Consider the following 20,627-nt stretch of genomic DNA (forward strand, 5'->3'; position numbering starts at 1 on the left):
ACGCACACTGCCCCGACAAACCCATCTCCTGGGGCGGCATGGGCGGCACTACGATTCCTCAAACGCTTCTGGTCCTGGCTTACCTAACAAAACCCAAGTTCTGGGCCCCATTGCATAACTCCCAGGGTGGCACAGAGGTATCCTGGGTGATTCTTATGATTAGGTGAGCTTGGGAAACACCGGCAAGAGGGGTGTTCCGTCCAATGGTTGGTCTGCGGCAAACCCTTACTGTCTCTCCGGTGCTGGGGCTCTTCGTTTTCAGATTTCTTCCAGTTACTCTCAGGCCCACGGGGGAGGTCGCCAGACCCCTCACTGTCTCTAGCCTGTGGCCTATAAAGTCCAGCAGGGCCATAGGTTCCTCCTGACAGTAGTCTGTAAAGTGAGGTGTGAGAAAAAAATATAAGGCCCATTTAGTTTATCTTATAAGAGAAATGAAGTCTTACTGTATCAGTCAGCCATAACTGAGTACAACAGGCTGCGTGGCTTAAGCAGCAGACACTTTTTTCCTTTCCTTTCTAGAGCCCCGAAGTCCAAGATCAAGGTGTTGGCAGGGTTGGTTTCTCCTGCGGCCTCTGCTGGCTTGCAGCTGGCTGTCTTCCTACCGTCTTCACACCGTCTTCCTTCTGTGTCCTAATCTCTTCTTAGAAGGACATCAGTCATATTGGATTAAGGCTCACCCTAATGAACTCATTTTAACTTAATTACCACTTTAAAAACCCTACCTGCAAATAGAATCACATTCTGAAGAACTGAGAATTAGCACTTCAAAGTGGGCATACACTTCATAACACTTAATATTTAATGTACGATTTGATGGTAAAGCTTTGCAAATAGCTTACATATTTGGGGGATGAGGGGCCAAAGACTCTTCCTGATAAGGGTGCACACTTTTCTACGGTAGTAGCCATAGGGGTAGCGCATGGGGCCTGACTCCCACAGACTTTGGTCATCCTGATGGTTCTGTGGGGCTTGTGATTCTGAAAGGTGTGGACCCAGCAGGCTTGACCTGTCCACACCCCTTGCACACAGTTGAGGGAGTCCAGGCCATCTGTCAGATCTCTGTTTTGTCCCCCTTGATGGCCTTAGCCCATGAGGGTGGGCCTGCGAGTCTTCACCAAGTAACATCCCTTCTTTTCTCCCCTTCTGTATCAGGGAAGCCTCTAGACACTGAGCTATATGTAAAGGCAGTATATCCGATATTGGGTCAAAAATCAGATCGTGTAGGGGCGTGGACACCCTCCCTGCCTCTCCCCCACATACACCACAGAGACAGTTCTGGCCTCTGTTGGGGATACAGACCCCAGGAGCAATATGGACCTAGCCAACAGGGAGCTCAGCCTGAACTCAAGAAGGCACCTCCTAGGTTTTCACCCCACAACCCATATCCCAGGCTTGACCCAGCTGGGTAGAGGGACACTCAGAGGAAGGTGATGCTCTCTGTCCTACCAAGAAGGCAGTCTCGGGTGGGGGACAGATGCATAACAGGTCATTGCCATTGAGGAGAATTGGAGCCAGGAGTCGGAACAGGGTCTAGTCAGGTAGAAGGCCTGGTATGAAGGACACCCTACCAGGTTTCCATATCATATTGTCCCCGAATCACAGCCCCCTTTCTCCTTGACAAGGACCTGGGAAAGGCTGGCTTCAGCCTGCATTCTGCAGACTCGCCTGGCTGGCTTGTCTGGCCAGGTTGGAGGACCAGGGCCTGGATAACCTGTTGGACTGGGCCACTGGTGCGGCACAGGGCATTCTGGCCGAGGGAGGTGGTGAGCACAGCATGGAGGTGTGACATAGCCACTGCATGAGGGGGCGCTGTGTGCTGGGCCTGGCTGAAGTGTGTGGTAGGGGTTGATGTGTGACAGGGTCAAGTTGAGGCAGACTTGATGGAGGCTGGCCTTGTTCTGAAGGCTGGAAGGAGCCTTGGATGCTTCTGAAAGGCCCTTCAGAAAGCAGCATGGTGGGACGAGGAAGGCTGGAGGAGACAGGCCAGTTGGGAAGGTGATTTCAGCCAAGATGGTAGTAATGAGGGAGGAGAGTGGGAGATGCGTGGGAGTGGGACTTTAGATGCGTGGTGGCCTCTAGAGTAGGGGTGCAGGGGGATCCAGGGGTCTTCAGGGTGCTTTCTGGTTTAGGGAGCTGTTGACCATTATTGCGATTGGGATTCCAGGATGAGAAACAGGTCTGGGGAGGTTGGTTGCCTGTATGAACACCTGTGAAGTGCATACAAACAGATGCAGGTGTGGGCTTTTCACCCGCCTCGTGAAGGTTTCCACGCCCAGTGATGATATGGAAAACCTGGAGTCTACCTGGTTGAATATTCTTCTCTCTGCCTCTTTAGGAACACAAACTGTGAAGGCAAAGAGAGACAGGGCTCTGGGCGTGGTGGGGGCAGCACGGCCCCTTGCACAAGATTTTGGGCATGGATGAATGGATCTCTTCATCATCACATGCTGACCTTTTAGCATGCCTTCCCTCTGGAGAACTGATTTCTCTGCGTGAAAGAGAGGATGATGGCTTATGACCTCCTTTGGTATCAAGAAATATTTCTGTAAGTTAACAGATGGCAAATCAGTAGTTGGGGGACTGAAGAAAAGTTGAGCAGCTCAAGGGCACCACACTCAGACCTGCATTGCATGTCGTGTGAGTTGGCCCTGTACTCTAGCCCCCAGTGGGGAGGGATGGATATCCGGCCACCTGCTGCTTGTCAAGCTGTATGCTGCTTAGATGGGGCACCTTTTTCTAATTTGCACCAACTCCCTGTGAAGGAGTGGAGGCCAAGGCCTGGCTGAGCTGAGGCGGGGATGCCATCCTTCCCCACTGCCATCCAAGGCAGCCATCGTCAGCCAGTCCTCAGTCATGCACGACTTTCCTGCCTGGTCTTAGACTCCTTCTCAACATTTTGCTCCAAGATGCTACCTCCAGGTGATCATAGAAATTTGCTTTCCCTGACTGAACCTGTTTCCCCACCTGTAAAAGGAGGTTGTATTGGATGGTCTTTCAGAGTCATTTTGGCCCTGATGTCTGATTTCTAGTCAAACTTCAGACAATCCTGCTTCTCCTCCAGGTCCCCAGCCATGGGAGATATAGCTGGAAGGAAGAATTCTCCTTACTAGAAGCCTTGAAGGAAGAACCTGTGGGTCCCCTTTGTCTTGTGAATGTGGCCTGACGACATGGGGAAGAAGGCAGGGTGGCCCCCGCAGCTCACCCTTGAACAGAGGGTTCAAGAGGCTGCATGTTTACATGCGGATGCTCCTCTCACACAGTGTTTATGTGTACTTTTGAAGGAATTAAGAGCCGCCTCAGCTGTCCTTGTCGGGTAGGGACTGTGTATAGCACAGTGACAAGCACGGAGCCCTTGATATTACTCATTTAATTGTAGGCCTCGGCAAGCCACAAAAGCTTTGTTGCCACACATGGTCGTGGTGAGTCGACTGTTTGAAAAGCTGCTTGCACAGAGCCAGACACAAGCGAATGCCCAGTGGGGGCTGTCCCTTTATGTTCCTCTGTTTCCCGGGCTTCCTAACTACCTTTTCCTAATATGAAATGAATGCCCAAGTGTCCCAGTGGTAAGCTCGTCTTTCCAGCATCTGGATGACTGTCAAGGGGTGGAGCGAGTGGAAGGGACGCGCAGAGCACTTCTGTGGAACCCCCTGCACCCTGGCTTTTCCTGGAGCCTGCTCCTGTGGGTTCTCGGAGTCCCGGCTGTGCTGCCCGCGCTAGAGCTGCCTTCTGATCTTCAGAGCCCATCCTTCGTGCTCTGGGCTCCTAAGACCCTTCTTGGGGTAACCTTTGCTGCTTTGCTTCCCTGCCCACCTCCCTTGGTAGGGGCCCCTGCGTGGAGCTCTGCAGCCTTCACTCCTGGATTTGTGCACAGATCAGCCCTTCACTGACCCGTGAATTTCCAGTTACTCATTCAGCCATTGATCAGTGCTTCAACTGGATGATTGGGTTGCTTATCAGATATTGATTTGCCCCTGCCATGACTGGGCCCCTGTGAGGAGGGAAGTTCAAAATCCTCACATTGCTCCAGGTTGGGGGAATGAGAGCCGGTAGTAGGAAAATAGCCTGAGGCAGTGTAGAGAAGAGAAAGAGCTGTGAGAAAACGTGGCATTTTGTCTATCTGTGGTTTCTAGCCAGGCTGGCTCTCCTTTCAGCTGGTAGCCATCAGTTACATCAGTTGGCAGCTTTGTGAGGGGCAGTTAACTCGTGTGTGTCTGCTGGTGAGGTGGTCGTGATGTGAAGTAGTGGAAGTCATTGGAGTCATTCATGGAGGGATCTTGGGAAGCCCCTTGTCCTCTCTGGGCCTCTGATTTCTCTGAAAATCATGACATTTTAGGAGATGTTCTATAGAGTCTTCATAGCTGTAGGGTCTGCCATCATTAACCAGTCCCGAGCCTGCTTTTCTCTGGTGACACATACCCCACAGGACCCCACTCGCTGCCTTTCATGCCTGTCCCCATCTAACTGGGTGCGCACTGGGGCTGCCGGCAGAAGCAAGCACCAGGGGAAAAAGGTGAGCCGTTCACACAAAGCGATGGGCATTCTGAGGCGCAGAGCAGTGGTCCCTGGGATTGCTCCCTCCAAGCCTCCCTGCCAGCCACTCAGGCAGACAGCCAAGGGCTGAGTGCTTTGCTTACCTAGTGCTGAGAGCTTGACATTCTTTCTGTGGTTGGAGCAGCAGTCGTTCCAGGACCCAGGCTCTCAGGGTCTGTCCTGAGATACTTCAGTTAATTAGAGGAAGTAAATGCAGTGACAGCTCTGAGCTAGCCTGGGCACTCTCAGATTAGATCACAAAGCCTGATGCTTGGAGCCAGGGCCGTGGAACCTGATTTTAAACATCAGGACTGGTTGGGTGCTGCTTGGAATTAGGGAGACTTCTTACCCTTGAGGTCCCTGCAGCCCTGTGAAGTTATTCAAATGGCTTGGAGTCAGGCCTGTCCTCGGGAAGGAAGAGGCAGATAAATTTTTAGTCATGCCTTTGGGGTTTCTGCCCCATGTCTTAATGATGGTTCATGGACTTATCATGTCCTGGGCCAGGATTGAGCAATATGAGTGACAGAGTATGGGCCCTCTTTCCTCCAAGCCCAACAGAGGGATCTTAGGCATACATGTGTTCATTCCTATACTCACTCAGCAAGCATTTATCGAGAACTTGCAGTGTGTCAGGCACAGAGCTGCAGGCGGGGCAGCATGAGTACACATGGCCCCTGCCCTTGAGGAACCCATGAGCTAGATGGAGATTCAGACCTGCAAGGGCAGCCTCTTCTGATAGAGCATGATCAGTTCTCTGAGGTGGCTCCAAGTCTGAGGCTCTGAGAAAGCATGGGTGAGGGGCTCTATCCTTGGCTGGAAGTGGCCCAGGAAGCCTTCTTGGAGGAAGAGGCACTGTGGTATTGCTGGCTGTGGTAGGGAGTTGGGGACTCGGCCCACAGTCTTTCACAGGTTAGGTCAGTTGAGCTCATTATTGCATCTTGGGGTGAGCAGATTCTGGGACAGCAATGTATAATACCTGCGCTCACATGAGACTGCTCACTGCTTCATTTACAAGGGGCTGAATCTTTCTGGGCCAGGAGTGTCCAGGCAACCTTTTCTCAGCCAGGGGCCTGAGGCCCTGAGTAACTGAGAGGTCACATGGTGGATGAGGATCAGGGCCATGAGTAGGGACAGACCCTTTTGTCCTGTGTTGCAGCCCCCTCTCCAGTGGGCAGGAAGGTGGGGAGAGATGGTCACCGGCTCCCACTGGGTCCTGGCCCAGAGTCTTGGTGGCAGGCAGAGATGGCACTTCTGTGGGAATGTCTCTGGTGACTTTGGGGAGGGGGCTCTGGGAGGTATGAGCTGCCCCCTGAAGACCTGGGAGGGCCACAACCCAGCTACCTCAGGGAGCAGGGGCTGAGACCTGGCCTGCCTTGCTCTTTCGCCTCCCCCTCCCACTACTCCCAGCAGAGTTCAGGGATTTCTAATTCTCTGGGAACCTGGAGCTTGTAGCACAAAAGTGCTCACATGTGCTTGAGGCAAGTGATTTCCTTTTCCTCCTCTTCTTCCTCGACTGCAAATATTGAAGAGGGATTTAAGATGTTTTTCTGCCCCATTGAGAATTATTAAAAAGACAAAGCACCTTTTTTTTTTAAGGTGCTGTATATTTCAAGCTAAGGATATGAGACTTGATTTCCTCAGGCCACAGAGGGATGCAGAACTCAGGTCCCATAAGCCCTATCTCTGTGGGAGGGCAGGCCGAGAAGCCCTGTGCCAGTGTCATGAGTCATGAGCCTTGGAAATCTCAGAACAAAAAGCCAAGGAAATTGTCTAGGCTATAGGATGTTTCAAGACCCCAGAATCACCCACTCTATTCCTTTGCCCATGTTGTATTTACTTTTTAACATAACTGGTTATAAAATGTCTAAAAATGTGTTTTTTTTTTTCTGGTCATGAAAGTAAACATTCTCATTGGAGAATATTTGGAAATGGCATAAAAGTTAAAATTAGGATAAGCATTTTATAATCCCTCCACCCAGAGATACAGTATGTTTGGGTGTGCTTCCTTTATATAGAAAATATATGAAAACAGTTTCTTAAAAACTTGTACTTTTTTCTTTTCTGATTTTTTATGTTCTTAACATTATATTACATTCTCCAAACAAACTTCTAAGGACGATCATATCCTTCATATGAATATACCACAAGTTGTGTAATTGTTTCTCTAACATTGATTATATTGGTTACTTCCAGGCTTTCCTGGTCACACGGCTAGCGGAGGTGGGTGGTGGTTCCTCTGTCCGCAGTTTCTCCCTCTGATCTGTGCATCTAGATTCTGTGACTCATCCTTCAAATCCAAGCTCAGGCCCCACCCCCAGGACTCTTGTCCATGGGCTCCTACAGGGCCCTGAGCATGTGTCTGTCACTCTGCCTCCCAGACTGATTTGTAACTTACGTATTTTTATGGCTAACTTTTCCTCCAGGCTGAAAGTTCTTTTAAGATAAGGTGTATGTCTTGTACATATCTGTAGCTTCAGCTGCTAGCTCAGTGCCCAGTTCATAGTAAGGACTCAATAGAAATCTGCTGAATGAATGCTACAGTGAATGCCTGCCGTGTAAATCTTAGTCCACATTTCTCAATTTAATTAGTATGATTCCTAGAAGTTTATGAAGATTTTTAAAGACACTTTTGCCCATTCACTGTGGTCTTATCAGCATTGAATATTATCTTTTGGGGCCTTTGCTATTTTGATAAGCAAGAGGATAAGTTTTTTTAACTTCTAGGAATTACCAACCCTAACTGGATCATTGAACTCTCTGAACTTACTATCATCGCTTAGGTCCCCTTTAAAAAACTACTCTGTGGACAGCTCAGGGCCACCCCCCTCTGCTTTGAGCCCTTATTCCTTAGCAAAGAGTGACAGTGTTCAGTGTCAGTGTTCTCATCACTGTGACTAGTGGAATTTCATCTGCTCAGTTCTGCTGGGTTCAGCTGATTTAGGCCAGTTTGCTGGCTGCGTGTGTTAAGGAGCTGTGGATTACAGAACAGTGCCAGACAGATTTTCAAGTTGGCAAAGCAATTGTTTCCCTCAAAGTACTTGAGCTGGGTAATTTAAAGCAGAAGGGTTGGAAGATTTAAAAGTAGTTTTAATGGTTAAATGTTTGCCTTCCAAGAACAGAGGAAAAAAAGGACAAAGTCTGCGCATCAGGAGAAAAGTGACATCAAAGGACCACTTGGCTTGTAAAGCAGGAACCACTGAACAGGCAGCCACAGAGCAGCAGCTGATCTTGGGAAGACAGGAGCCAGCCTGAAGTCCAATGGCCTCCTTTTGTAGGACATCTCTGTAGGACACTCAGAATGAGTGGGTCTTCTCTCAGCAGTTAGTTAGCAGGGGTGTATTGTCTGTAAGAATGTCCTTTGGAGTAGGGAAGAGCCATGAGGCTAATTTTAGGAAACTGTGTGTGTCTTTGCACATGCGTGTGAGTCTGCGGATGTGTCTGTTTAGTTTGTGTGTGTCTGCGTGTGTGTCCACACATCTGTGTTTGTGCATCTGTGTGTGTGTGTGTGTGTGACATGGCTGCTCCATGGGAGAGCTGCCACCCTGTGCGAGGGAGCTGGCAGAATTCATCGAATGACAGGGAGGCCCTTTAAGTGAGGCTCCTTAGTCCCTCCGCCTCCCAAGAGGGTCTGGTGGCCCAAGCTCTTGTCAAGGCCTCCCACCCCAACCCCAGACCCATCTGTGTGGACCCCACCAAAACCTTGGCTCCGATGGGAGGCAGCTGTCATTCTGGCTCCATTTCCTCACTGCTGTGGAATCATTTTTCCTAGAGGGCTTAAGAAATAATGCACAGACATCACCGCCTAAATATGGATTATTGATGTGGGCCTCTTTGGTGGCCTGTCTAGCATGGAATTCTACTTAGACTTGAATTTGCTTTACCTCTTCTCTCTAAATTCTCATCACCACTACTCCCTTGAAAATGCCTAAAAACACTGTCATTAAAATATTAGATCACTTTGCCTGGAATGCGTCGGCTCAAGTACACTAACAGCATCAAGAGGTATGTTAGTTTACGGAGGCCTCAGATGGGGAGGGTGGAGGGTTGTGAACTATTTAAACTTCTCTGACAGGTAGTGCGGGGAGGACAGCAGACGTCGGAGATCCTGGTGACTTGACCATGTGTCTGGGCATCTTTGGAATTTTCCAGGCCTGCTTTGGGGAAATGTTCTCACCTATAATACATCAGTGAGGATAGTGTACATGTTTTATGGAGATGAAGCTTGCTAGAGAGCTGGATTTGTCTCTAACACCAAACCATCTAGAAGTCCACTGTTTCCATGGATCTGGGAGGAACAGGAATTAACAGCCCCACTTATTAATCAGCAAGAAACCTGAGGCTGAAGGGAGTTAAGACCAAAACCCTGTGTTCTAAGTCCCTGGGCGCACTTCCTTCTCTTCCTCCTGCCTGGCTACAGAAAGCAGGTATGAGATGGGGGTGGCTCACCTTTTAGAGGGCAGAGCAGGCCCGGAGCCAGGGAAATCATAATATTCTGTTTTTTGCCTTTTGGCTCTGGCCTCCCCTTGCTCTTTGTGGAAGAATTCCCTTTATAAAGGAGTTGAGGTCTGAAGGCTGCTATATGAATTTGGTGACACAGCAGTGTTCTCCTAGGAGTGACAGCTGGAAACCCAGGCTGTGACTTTCAAACTTAGTCAGGAACCCCCGGAGGCAGAGGAGCCACCTTCTTCCAGGGCCTGAGCAAGCCCTCCAGCCTGGGGAGCCCTGTCCACTCATTCTTCCACACCCTCTGCTAAGATCAGAACCACCAGGAGCTTGTTAAAGACGCAGGTTTCCAGGCTCCTGCCCCAGTCCTCTGGAATCAAAATCTCTGTGGGCCCTGACCGAGCAGCTGTACTGTAGCGAGCTCTCCAGGTGGGACTGTTGAACACAGAAGTCTGAGAATCGCTGCAGAGCTCTTTGCACTGCCAGGTGGTGTGGGTGACTCCCCACTAGCTGGTCCCAGAGACTCCCAGCCTCGTGGGGAACTGCAACAAAAGCTCAGTGATTTTAGGGCTCAGTTCAGTGTGAGCCACTCATCTTATTTTTCAGCCTCTCTTTGTTTCCCTAGTGAGGAAAGACACAAGGCAGAGGCTCAGATTGGGTGCGTTTGCCAAGCTTCACTATGCAGTTGCCCCCATTGGGCAGAGTTTCACATGGGCGCCTGACAGGCATTGGGCCCAGCTCTCTGCGGCTGTCTTTATCTGAGCCACAGATCCCTGGGCCAGTCAGCGAGGCCAGGGAAACACCAACCGTGTTCCTCTTTCCATCTCAACCACTTGCACTGTGTTGTAAATCCTCCTCATTCTCTGTTCTCGCCTTGCAGTGGTGGCCAGAGGCACTAGGAAACTCAGCAGAGAATTTGCTGCGCTCTGGGTGAGGCAGAACTGGACACATAGCTCAGGTGACCTTGTTCTTGCACGTACTTGAGGTCAGAGGGGTCAGAGTGCCTGCACCTCCCAGGTCTGTACAACTTCCAGCAAAAGTTACCACTTCCAGAACGCTTATTCTGATCCAGGAAGGATACCGAGCATCATCCATGCCTTTAGTCTTTTCAGGAACTGTGAAGTTGGCAGTATTGTACCCATCTCGCAGATGAGAAAGCTGAGGCTTAGAGAGGTGGAATTTGAAATACACAAGGAATAGGTTAGAAAAACACTAAGGAATGGACTTCAAATGCTGACATTTCAGGTGGAGGATGGGGAGGAGAGGAAATGGATGAGAAGATTTGAGGCTTAGGCTCAAATCATATGCAGGTGAGATCTGGGTTCTGATCACATGGGTAATCTTGTTTAAGTACTAACTAGTCTCTGAGTCTCCTCATTTGTAAAAGGGGAATAATGATTTATAGAGTGTTGGGAGCATCAAATGAAAGTGTTTATGGAATGCCCTTTGTAAGTCATAAGGCATGGCCTCTACCAATCAGGGCTAAAGCCCCATAAGGGCAGTTGCCTGCTAAATCCCAGACTTTGTAAAAGAGGTTTCTATAAAACCCCTACATGATGCTGTGTGAGGTTTTCTTAGGAGGAGTAGTGGACGAAGTGGAAAAGCACAGACTCTGTGGTCAGACAGACCCAGGCTTGGGTCTCCGTTCTAGCACTCCACTACTGGAGATTATAAGTCATGTAACCTCTCTGAACTTTAGTTTCCTTATCTGTAAAATGGGGCAAATAAGGGATTAGGTGAGTATTAAATGACATGAGATGACATGAACTCAAAACGGTTGAAAATAGGATGGAAAATATGCAACTGGCCAAGTCTTGAAACAAAAGAAAGCTGAGATAGCAATTGTCATATTAGACAAAATAGAATAGAACTCAAAGACAAAGAAGGTTGTTATATGCTTGTAAAGGGCAATAATGATATACCTGGGCATGGTGGCTCACACCTGTAATCCTAACAGTTTGGGAGGCTGAGGCAGGTGGATGGTTTGAGCCCAGGAGTTCACGACCAGCATGGGCAACACTGCAAAGCCCCATCTCTACAAAAAAATTAGAAAATTAGCTAGACATGGTGGCATGTACCTGTAGTCTCAGCTACTAGGGAGGCCAAGGCAGGCGGATAGCTTGAGCCCAGGAGTTTGAGACTAGCCTGTGTAACATGACCTAATCCCGTCTCTACCAAAACAAACAAACAAACAAACAATAGTCAGGCGTGGTGGTGCATACCTGTAGTCCTAGCTACTCGGGAGGCTGAGGTGGGAGGATTGCTTGAGCCTGGGAGGTCAAGGCTGCAGTAGGCCAAAATCACACCACTGCACTCCAGCCTGGGTGACACAGTGAGACCTTGTCTCAATAATTATGATAATCACAGACATATATGTATTACAGAATATAAACTTGAAATATAAATCAACAACCGACATGAGGAAGTAGATAAATCAACAGTTGTGCTTGGAATCTTTTAATACATCCCTTTCTGAAAATGATAAATGAAGCAGGCAAAGACTAAGCAAGGATAAAGCATATTAGAAGGACATGATTAATAACCTGATCACACATGGAATAGTCATGGAAATTAATCATGTACTAGGCCACAAGGAATTATCAACATATTCCAGTGAATTGACAATCCTACAGACTGTTCAGGCCACAAAGAAATAAAATTATTATTAGAAAACAGCAAAAATATATACCTATTGAAATCTCACATGTCTAGATACTTTAAAACATTACTATTTTGAAAACTCATTAAGAGGAAGTCATAATGGGAATAGAAAAATGAGAGCAGAATAGCAATTTATTGTGTCAAAAACTAGAGGATTTTATACCTTTGAATTGATTTATTACAAAACAAAAATGGAAAATAAATGATATTCCCCAAACTCATGAAGTTCAACTCTAAAAACATAAAAGAGCCAACAGATTTAAATCAAAGAAAAAGAGTTCTGGGAGAATCAATGAACAATTAGAACTATTAACAAATTTCAGCAAAGTTGCCCAGAAAATGAAATGCCACACAGTACTCTAACAAAAAATATACAGGACTTTTAGAGAAAAAGAGTTGGAAAATTTGATCCTAAATGTGAATAGAAAATGTGAATAAATAAAGGGTGTCAATGATGTAATATTTAACCGTGTCAGCCCACAAGTTAACTTATAATTTAAAAAATATAACAATTGAAATCTCAGGAGGATTTTTTTTTTGTAGATTGACAAGCTGATTCTAAAATTCATACAGAACAATAAATATCTACTATTATCTAAATCAGTGTGAGAAAGAAAAAGCAAAATGGGGAATCGGCGGCCGGGTGTGGTGGCTCATGCCTGTAATCCCAACGCGTTGGGAGGCCGAGGCTGGTGGATCAGGAGTTCAGGAGTTCGAGACCAGCCTGGCCAACATGGTGAAACCCTGTCTCTGCTAAAAATACAAAAAATTAGCCAGGCGTGGTGGCAGGTGCCTGTAATCCCAGCTACTCGGGAGGCTGAGGCTGGAGAATCACTTGAACCCAGTGGGTGGAGGTTGCAGTGAGCCGAGATTGCACCATTGCACTCCAGCCTGGGCAACAAAAATGAAACTCGATCTAAAAAAAAAAAAAAAAAAAAAAAAAAATGCAGGGGAGGGGATTCACCCTACCCCAGGTCATTTGGCAAAAACACAGTGATTAAAACCACGTGGTACTGGAACAGGCCGACTTATGGAGTTGAATGGCAAGTCCAGAAACACACCAAAGTACATATGAGGAGCTAGTTTTTGAGTGAAGTAGATTCCCAAGTCAAGGAAAAAGATGCAATTTTTTTTTTATGTGTTGGTTGAAAATTGCCTTAGTGAAAGTATGGAGGGAGAAAAAAATTGTATCTTTGTCTCACCTTATGTAAAAAAATCCAGAGAGATTAAAGACCTAAACGTGAAAGCCAACAGATGAAAATCCAGAGTAACTTTGAGAATGTGGGGTGGGAAAAGATTTCTTCAAGTTCCAAAAAAAGACCAATTATAATGGAAAAATAGATTGATCTGTCGATGTCAAAATGGGAAAGCACTGAGGATGAGTCATTGCTCCCTAAGAATCAGTCTCTATGATTTCATCCCCTGCTCCAAACTTACTCAGGGGCAGTCACAAGGAATGTAGTCTGGCTCTTGCACCTCGGCTCACTGGGAGTGAAGGCAGGTGTTGAGATTCAGGCTAAGGGAGGGGCTTCAGGTCCCTAGGCAGGGTAGGAGAATTGAGGTCTCTTATTTTCTTGGACTGAATTGTTGCTTTCTTCATGGGGTTCAGACTCATCCATGATGGGGCCTCTTGGTGAGGAGCCTCAAATACAGGTGTGGGCAATCGAGAGAAACCATGACAGCTTAATCATTGTGGGCCTTGGTCATTCTGTTGCTGCCTACACTTTCTTTTTCTTTTTTTTTTTTTTTTTTTTGAGATGGAGTCTTGCTCTGTGGCCCAGGCTGGAGTGCAGTGGTGTGACCTCGACTCACTGCAACCTGTGCCTCCAGGGTTCAAGCAATTCTTCTGCCTCAGCCTCCTGAGTACCTGGGATTACAGGTGTGTGCCACCATGCCCACCTAATTTTTATATTTTTTAGTAGAGATGGAGTTTTGCCATGTTGGCCAGGCTGGTCTCAAACTCCTGGGCTCAAGTGATCCACCTGCCTCGGCCTCCCAAAGCGCTGGGATTATAGGCATGAGACATAGTTCCCGGCCTTGCTTCCTACATTTTCAGGATGCATGTGGGTCACCCTGAGGCAAGGGGTGGGCTGGTCATTGATCCCAACCCTGACTGAACTCCAACATCATACCAGGAGCTTGTGAAAAATAAGTTGGTGAGCCCCACCCTTGATATACTCTGATTCAGTGGCATGAGGCAGCTCAGGAATCTTCATTTGACTAACTCCCAAGAGTGGCCAGGGTTGGACCCACCAAGCAGGATCACCTTTCGGGGTCGAGAGATCAGAACTACTCAGCTCCTGAAGTCACAAAACAACCCGGGCCAAAGGTGTGGGATGGGAAGTGTGATGCTTGGGCTGGAAGGAGGACAGCTACTGGTGAGGTCAGCAAGTTCCTCTGAGAATGCTCCCTCTTCCCACCTTAGTACTGATTCTGTATTAGAGTGATCTGTTAGTTGCCTGCCTGTGAGTTCCTTGAGGGCAAGGGCCATGCTTCATTCATTCATTCCACAAATATTTATTAAGACCTTCATATGTTAGAAACAGACTTTAATAGGGGTGAGGCCCAGTCAGCCCTCCTAGAGCTTCCAGTGTGTAGGGAGGTAGGCAGCAAGACCAGGCAGCTCTAGTAAAGTGTATCAAATGCTGCAATGGAGAACCAGCAGGCTGCCTCACTTATCCCCAACTTGGGACACCCAGAGAGGCTTCCTGCAAGTGAAGTCTAAGATAGTGACGAACGAATCAATCAAAGGGGAGTAGGGAGGACTGTTTCAGACACACAAAATGACACATGCAGGCCTTTGGTAGGAACAGAAAAGGTAAAGGTGGTTGGATTGAAAGGGACCGGTGGGAGTGGGCGATGAGGCCATGACATGAGCTGGGTCTCCTCTCTAGGCCCATGTGCAGTAATTTCTACTTTAGTACTGGGCAGTGTAATAGGAAGAAACGGAAAGGTCTTGCCTTCCATTTGCCTGGTTCCCAGCTGAGACCAGACCCAGGGTAGCTGCAGAGAATGTTTGCTGAGCAGGTGGCATCACTCCCACTGAACTGAGCTCCTGCCCACTCTCCCCACAATTCCTTCCCGCATCGATCTCTTCTATTTCTGTGGGCTGGGCCAGCTGCACCTCTGGGAACCAGGCCGTATTTTCTCTTCCGTACCTGGGAATATAAACTTTTCTGAGTTAGTATAGGCCACTGCCCAGAGCAAGGGAAACTGAGGCTGGGAGAATAGTATCCCAAGAGAGAATGGGAGAATGGTGTCCCAAGAGTCTCAGAAGCACTGAACTCCTCTGACCAATCAAGGCTGTTAAAAACTGTTCCGGGAGAACTGAATTTCTCTGTCCCCTATTTTGGGAATGGCTGTGATCCTGAACGAGTGCTGCAGGCCAGGGCATGTGTTTGAGTCTTTAGGGCAACCCCAAAGCTGGCTCAGGACCTGGCATTTGGTAGGTGTGCGAACTGCAGGGACACATCTACTTAGTCCCAGAACAGTGGCCTTTCTGAGCTCCCAGATAGAGGGGGCATGCCTTTTCCCCACCGTGGGTGGTCCCAGGCCCACTCTGAATCTGACCCCAAGCCAGCCTCATGTTCAGGGGACTTGGGGCATGGCCACAGTGGTGGCTGTGGCTGCTGTTTTGGTGAACAGTGTTTTGTGCAGGTACCCTGTACATGTCCACGCTTACTCCTCTGTAAGAAAACCCCTGGGGGAATGAGAAGCTCAGCAGACAGATGCAGAGACTGAGACTCCTGGAGGGGGATTAAGCACTCTCAGAATTATGTCATGCACAGGTCAGCCAACAGGACTGTCCCTCCACTCCACTCACCTTCCACTGTTCCCCCTTCCCACACTGGGGTTCACCCAGCAGGTGGAGCTGGAGTGGTTAGGGGTTGTGACCCCGTAGTTGGAAGCTATGTGACTATAGGAAGGGCCTAAGGGGAAGGGAGGAGGCTTGGGAGGGGCTTCTGGGAGCCAAGGTGGGCAGAGGTGGGAGGGGCGCCCCACAGCACCCCACTCCTTAGTTGTCTATGAAAACATCAAGCTGTTAAGTACTTATCACTGGGTGGTAGAATTCCCTAATATTTTTTCTTTTTGTTTAGGTGATGTTTGCATTTTCTAATTTTTCTACGGAGACTGCATATTGTTTGTGTCATTGAAACGAATAAGGGGGATGGAATTTGCAAGGAGCAACCTGTGTTATCCTGGGGGTTTCCAGGTTGGGGGTCCTGTGCTTCCCCAGGAGTGGGGATTTACTTGCGTGTGCAAACAAGCAGTTTCCAGCCCTCCCTTTCCTCCTCGCCTTCCATGTCCTCTCCCACCTCGGCCTCCGCGTGGGACTGGGGTGGAGGGGAGGGGTGAAACCGCGTGGAGTCCTGTCCTGCCCGCCACCGCGTGCCCAGAAACGCCCACGCGAGCCTTGGAGCTGGGCTGCACTGCGGAATCGGTGCCAGCTCGTTGTCTGTTTATTTGCTGCCTGCTCCACTGGATAGTGCGCTGTTTGAGGGCAGGACCAGTTCCGAGTTGCCAGGGCTGGACGCCGAGTGGGTGCGGAGAGCGCACCTGTGACCGACGTGGAGGCGGCGGGGAGGAAGGGTTGAGGTGCAGCGCGTGGGCGGAATGGGAAGCCCGCCAGGCTGGCTTGCTTGGTTCCCAGCGGGTGTGCGGCTTCTAGTCTAACTTCCCCTCGGGGCTTCTTTCCTAGATCCACTTCCCGGACGTGGAGCGGGTCGAGTGGGCCAACAAGGTAAGGCCGCTGGCAGGGCCTAGCAGGGCCGGACGCATGCCAGCCTCGTCCTCCCCGCGGCTGTCACCCCCACAGCCTGATGGGGGCCTCGCGGCAATTTCCTTGCCTGACGCGGGCAGGGATGCTCCCTTTCCCTCTTCTTTCACCAGAATGGCTCGCTTTTGTTAACAACAACAAATTGAAATTAATACGTGGTCACAGCAGAAAAATTAGAAAATACAGAGAAGTATAGAGAAAAGTACAATCCCCACTAGCTCACCAGGCCAGGAGCTGTACTTTCCTAGGGAGAGGAAGACATTAATTAGACAACAGCTTCTGGACACTGCCTGGTTTCCTGCCTAGATCCAACAGCATTTCTGTGCAGTCTTGGGCAGACTGCCTAACACCTCTGAGCTGGCTTCCTTATCCGTAAAATGGGAATAATTAGAGTCCTTGCCCTGGCTCGATTCACTGACATCACTACTGTAATTGCTGTTAGGTCACCCCTGGGAACTCCCCTTGGGCTCTGCTGCCAGATGTCCCAAGGAGGCTCCTGCTGGATGATGACCCTTGGCCGAGCCCTCCCCAGCAGGAATCCCGACTTCATGGAGGATGAACTGGAGGCCTGCCCCTCCCTGATCTGCCCAGACCTGTCCCTAACTGTGAGGGCTCCACGGCAGTCCCCAGCTCAAATCTCCTGACTGAGGAATGTTTCTAATACAAACCTTGCCTCTGGGAGGAGGCTTAGCCCGTAGCAGGAATGACTTAGGTTAGGTATAAGAAAGGACTTCCTGATGGATGTTGATCCAAGATTGCTGTTTTCACATTACCAGACGTGTCATTGCTGAGTGCATCAAAAAGCATTCCCTAGCCGGGCATGGTAGCACACACCAGGGTCACAACTCCTTGAGAGGCTGAGGCAGGAGGATCGTTTCAGCCTAGGAGTTCAAGGCCAGCTTGAGCAACATAGCAAGACTCCATCTCAAAAACAACAGTAACAGCAAAAGAACAGAGAACATTCTCAGCCTCTGGGTAAATTTGGAAGAAGCAGGTTGCTGCTTTAAGAGGAGTGACTGGGTTTCTGGGGATTCATGCAGGACCCAGCGCCTCTGGGCAAACCTTGTAGAGTTCCTCCTGCACTGTGTTAGCTGGTTCATGCACCTCTGCCTGCGTTACATCTTTCTTTCAGTAATACACAGAGGCCTATACAAGGCGTTGGAGATATAAGACTGTTGGGATATGAGGCTCCCACCTTCATCTTGGATGGGGAGACAGAGACAGTTGTGTAGGTAAACCACATACTAGGGCACCGAGTGTGTCCTAACAAGCTTTAAACTCAGGAGGCACTTGGCCAGTGACAAACCAGCAAGACAGGAAGATGAGACCAGACCCAAGAAAGTAGAACCTGGGGTTTGGAGAGGCCTTTGAGAGAGATGGGAACAATGAGCCCTAAAATCTCACAGCCTTTAGGCTCCTCCAATGATGGCTTTGGAAGGGGCACATGGAGGAAGGAAATGCATATTTAAACTGAAGCCCAAGCCCACAGGAAAGATACAGTCTTGTATCTCCAACGCCTTGTGTAGGCCTCTGTGTATTACTGAAAGAAAGATGTAACGCAGGCAGAGGTGCATGAACCAGCTAACACAGTGCAGGAGGAACTCTACAAGGTTTGCCCAGAGGCGCTGGGTCCTGCATGAATCCCCAGAAACCCAGTCACTCCTCTTAAAGCAGCAACCTGCTTCTTCCAAATTTACCCAGAGGCTGAGAATGTTCTCTGTTCTTTTGCTGTTACTGTTGTTTTTGAGATGGAGTCTTGCTTTGTTGCCCAAGCTGGCCTTGAACTCCTAGGCTGAAACGATCCTCCTGCCTCAGCCTCCCAAGGAGTTGTGACCCCGCTGTGTGCTACCATGCCTGGCTAGGGAATGCTTTTTGATGCACTCAGCAATGACACGTCTGGTAATGTGAAAATAGCAATCTTGGATCAACATCCATCAGCTCGGGTAACAGGGGGACCCTATCGCTACAAAAACATTAAAATGCGTGGTGGTGCACGCATGTAGTCCCAGCCACCCAGGAGGCTGTGGTGGGAAATCACCTAAGCCTGGGAGGTTGAGGCTGCAGTGAGCTGTAATCATGCCACTGCACTCCAGCCTGGGCGACAGAGTGAGACCTTGTCTTAAAAAAGAAGGCCAGGTGCTGTGGCTCACACCTGTAATCCCAGCACTTTGAGAGGCCAAGGCGGACAGATCACTTGAGGCCAGGAGTTCAAGACCAGTCTGGGCAACATGGTGAAACCCTGTCTCTAACTAAAAATAAAAAAAAAATTAAAAATTAAAAAAATTCACTGGGTGTGGTGGCAGGTACCTGTAATCTCAGCTACTTGGGAGGCTGAGGCAGGACAATCACTTGAACCAGGAGGTGGAGGTTGCAGTGAGCCGAGGTCGTGCCATTGCACTCCAGCCTGGGCAACAAGAGCGAAACTCCGTTTGAGAAAAAAGAAAAAGAAGATGGAGAAGCCTTGCCCCAAACAGAAAGTACCTGCTGGCTGGCCCGCCCTCCATTCCCCTCTGATTTCCACCATCCTCCCCTGTCTCTGCCATCTTCCTTCTCCCCAGGTCCTGCACTTCATTCCCAAATCAGCACAGTGAGTCATTCTGCTGCAGAAATCGGGCAAAGGCTGCCTTTTCTGATTGCTAGAAAATGAAATCCACAGGAAACAATTTAACTTTCTCTTCTGTAATTTTTTTCTTAAACTTCTGGCATCTGCTACTTTTTGTTTAAACCACAGTGTAGAATGAGATTATGTTTTAGCACAGAACTAAAGGGCTTTCTAATAATAAATGTAGTGAATGAGTATTTCTTGGTGCTCTGCGGAATAGCACCAAATCTTGGGGTCCTGCTGCCTGCATGACAGTGGGAACCACGGCTGTAGTTATCAGATGTTTGACGGACAGACAGATGAACAGGTGAGCAGATGGGTGGGCAGGCAAGCAGGTGAGTGCTGCAGCATAGGAACCCCCACCCCAAGACCAGGCTGCAGAGAATCAGGACCTTGTCCCATGCAGCTGTGGGTCTGCAGTGGGGGTACAGACCTGACTACCAAGAGCCTCTTCCCGTCTTCACAGATCATCTCTCAGACCTGGCCCTACCTAAGCATGATCATGGAAAGCAAGTTCCGGGAGAAACTTGAGCCCAAGATCCGAGAGAAGAGCATCCACCTGAGGACCTTTACCTTTACCAAGCTCTACTTTGGACAGAAGGTGGGTGTGTCTCGGGAGGGTCAGCCTGGACTGGCTGTGCAGTCTTCTCTCTGTTCCCTCTCCTCCCACCTTTCTCCCACCCAGGTCAGTCATATGACTGCAGAGATCCCACTGGACCTTACAGGGGGACACCCTCCCGCCACCACCTGCATTTCCCAGCCTGTCAGCCTCAGTAGACACCCTTCCCCCACATCCCTGTACCATCATCTCCCCAGGTTCCAAGGAAGCCTGGCTCAGAGGGAACAGAAAGGAGAGGTGGGAGATATTTCCACTTTTCTTAAGGAAAACTTTGAAGACACGCCATGGTGGTAGCCAGACAGATACAAAGATGGAAATCATAGTTGCTAACCTCAGAGCCGGTGAACACACGCTCACAGTTTGGATAGTCAGTGCCGCCTAGCGCTTTATATTCTCCACTAATTGGCTGTTATGGCACTCAGTGTTACAAGTCCATGCTAGTTCTGTGAAGATCAGCAGGTGTCCCAGGATGAAATGGTCTGTGGCCAATGAAGTTTGTGTCAGCACACCTAATGTCATGGTCCCTGTTCTAGACTGGGCTTCCTGTTTCAGCCTTGGTGCCCTACGCCTCCTGCCTCGAAGTGCCCCTAGTGACTTGAATCTTTTGATCATCCAAAATGTATCCCTCAGCCAGAGACCACTGTGACCCAGTAAATGAGAGGCACTGGCATCCGGTCTTCCCAGCAACGAGCAGGTGTCCAAGTATAGGCCAGCCTGCTGAGAGAGCTGTCTGCCAGCCCTTCCTGGCTAGCCCCTGGGCAGGGGTGGATTAGGCAGGCCTGAGCCCTGGAGATTGGGATTTCTGCCATTCAAACTGGCTTGTGCCAGCATCTGTTGGTTCATGCATTCATTTCTTGTTTCATTCACCTGTGACTTATTGAGCACGTGCTGTGTGCTGGGCATCATAGAGTTGGGTGTGGCTGCACCCCTTCCTGTGGGAGGAACACATCAACTGGTGGATGACAACGTGGCAGTATCTGCGTGCATGATGGCAG

General features: G+C 49.1%; 1 protein-coding gene across 8 annotated transcripts in view, besides 2 other annotated features; it reads left to right on the forward strand.

The window, feature by feature from the left end:
• ESYT3 (extended synaptotagmin 3) overlaps window positions 1-20,627 on the forward strand; it is a 47,071-nt gene that overhangs the window by 1,099 nt on the left and 25,345 nt on the right. For 7 of the 8 annotated variants that reach the window (NR_136409.2, NM_001322831.2, NM_001322834.2 and 4 more), the window contains exons 2-3: window positions 16,334-16,375; window positions 19,480-19,614. Coding sequence is in view for 7 of the 8 variants with exons in the window: in NM_001322831.2 (NP_001309760.1) it covers window positions 16,334-16,375; window positions 19,480-19,614 (177 nt within the window). In the remaining variant the exon portion in view is untranslated. Of the gene's footprint in view, window positions 1-11,292; window positions 11,298-16,333; window positions 16,376-19,479; window positions 19,615-20,627 lie in introns of those variants that run through there. The other variant, XM_017007307.2, reaches the window with a different exon arrangement.
• Window positions 3,977-4,756: an enhancer, noted in NCBI's record as "H3K4me1 hESC enhancer chr3:138158533-138159312 (GRCh37/hg19 assembly coordinates)". NCBI's record gives its function as "activates a minimal SCP1, AML or CMV promoter by ChIP-STARR-seq in naive H9 embryonic stem cells {active_cell/tissue: H9 hESC(naive)}" and the evidence as "EXISTENCE:reporter gene assay evidence [ECO:0000049][PMID:30033119]".
• Window positions 4,757-5,537: an enhancer, noted in NCBI's record as "H3K27ac-H3K4me1 hESC enhancer chr3:138159313-138160093 (GRCh37/hg19 assembly coordinates)". NCBI's record gives its function as "activates a minimal SCP1, AML or CMV promoter by ChIP-STARR-seq in naive H9 embryonic stem cells {active_cell/tissue: H9 hESC(naive)}" and the evidence as "EXISTENCE:reporter gene assay evidence [ECO:0000049][PMID:30033119]".

This window comes from Homo sapiens, chromosome 3 (assembly GCF_000001405.40).
Source record: "Homo sapiens chromosome 3, GRCh38.p14 Primary Assembly".
Lineage (NCBI taxonomy): Eukaryota > Metazoa > Chordata > Mammalia > Primates > Hominidae > Homo > Homo sapiens.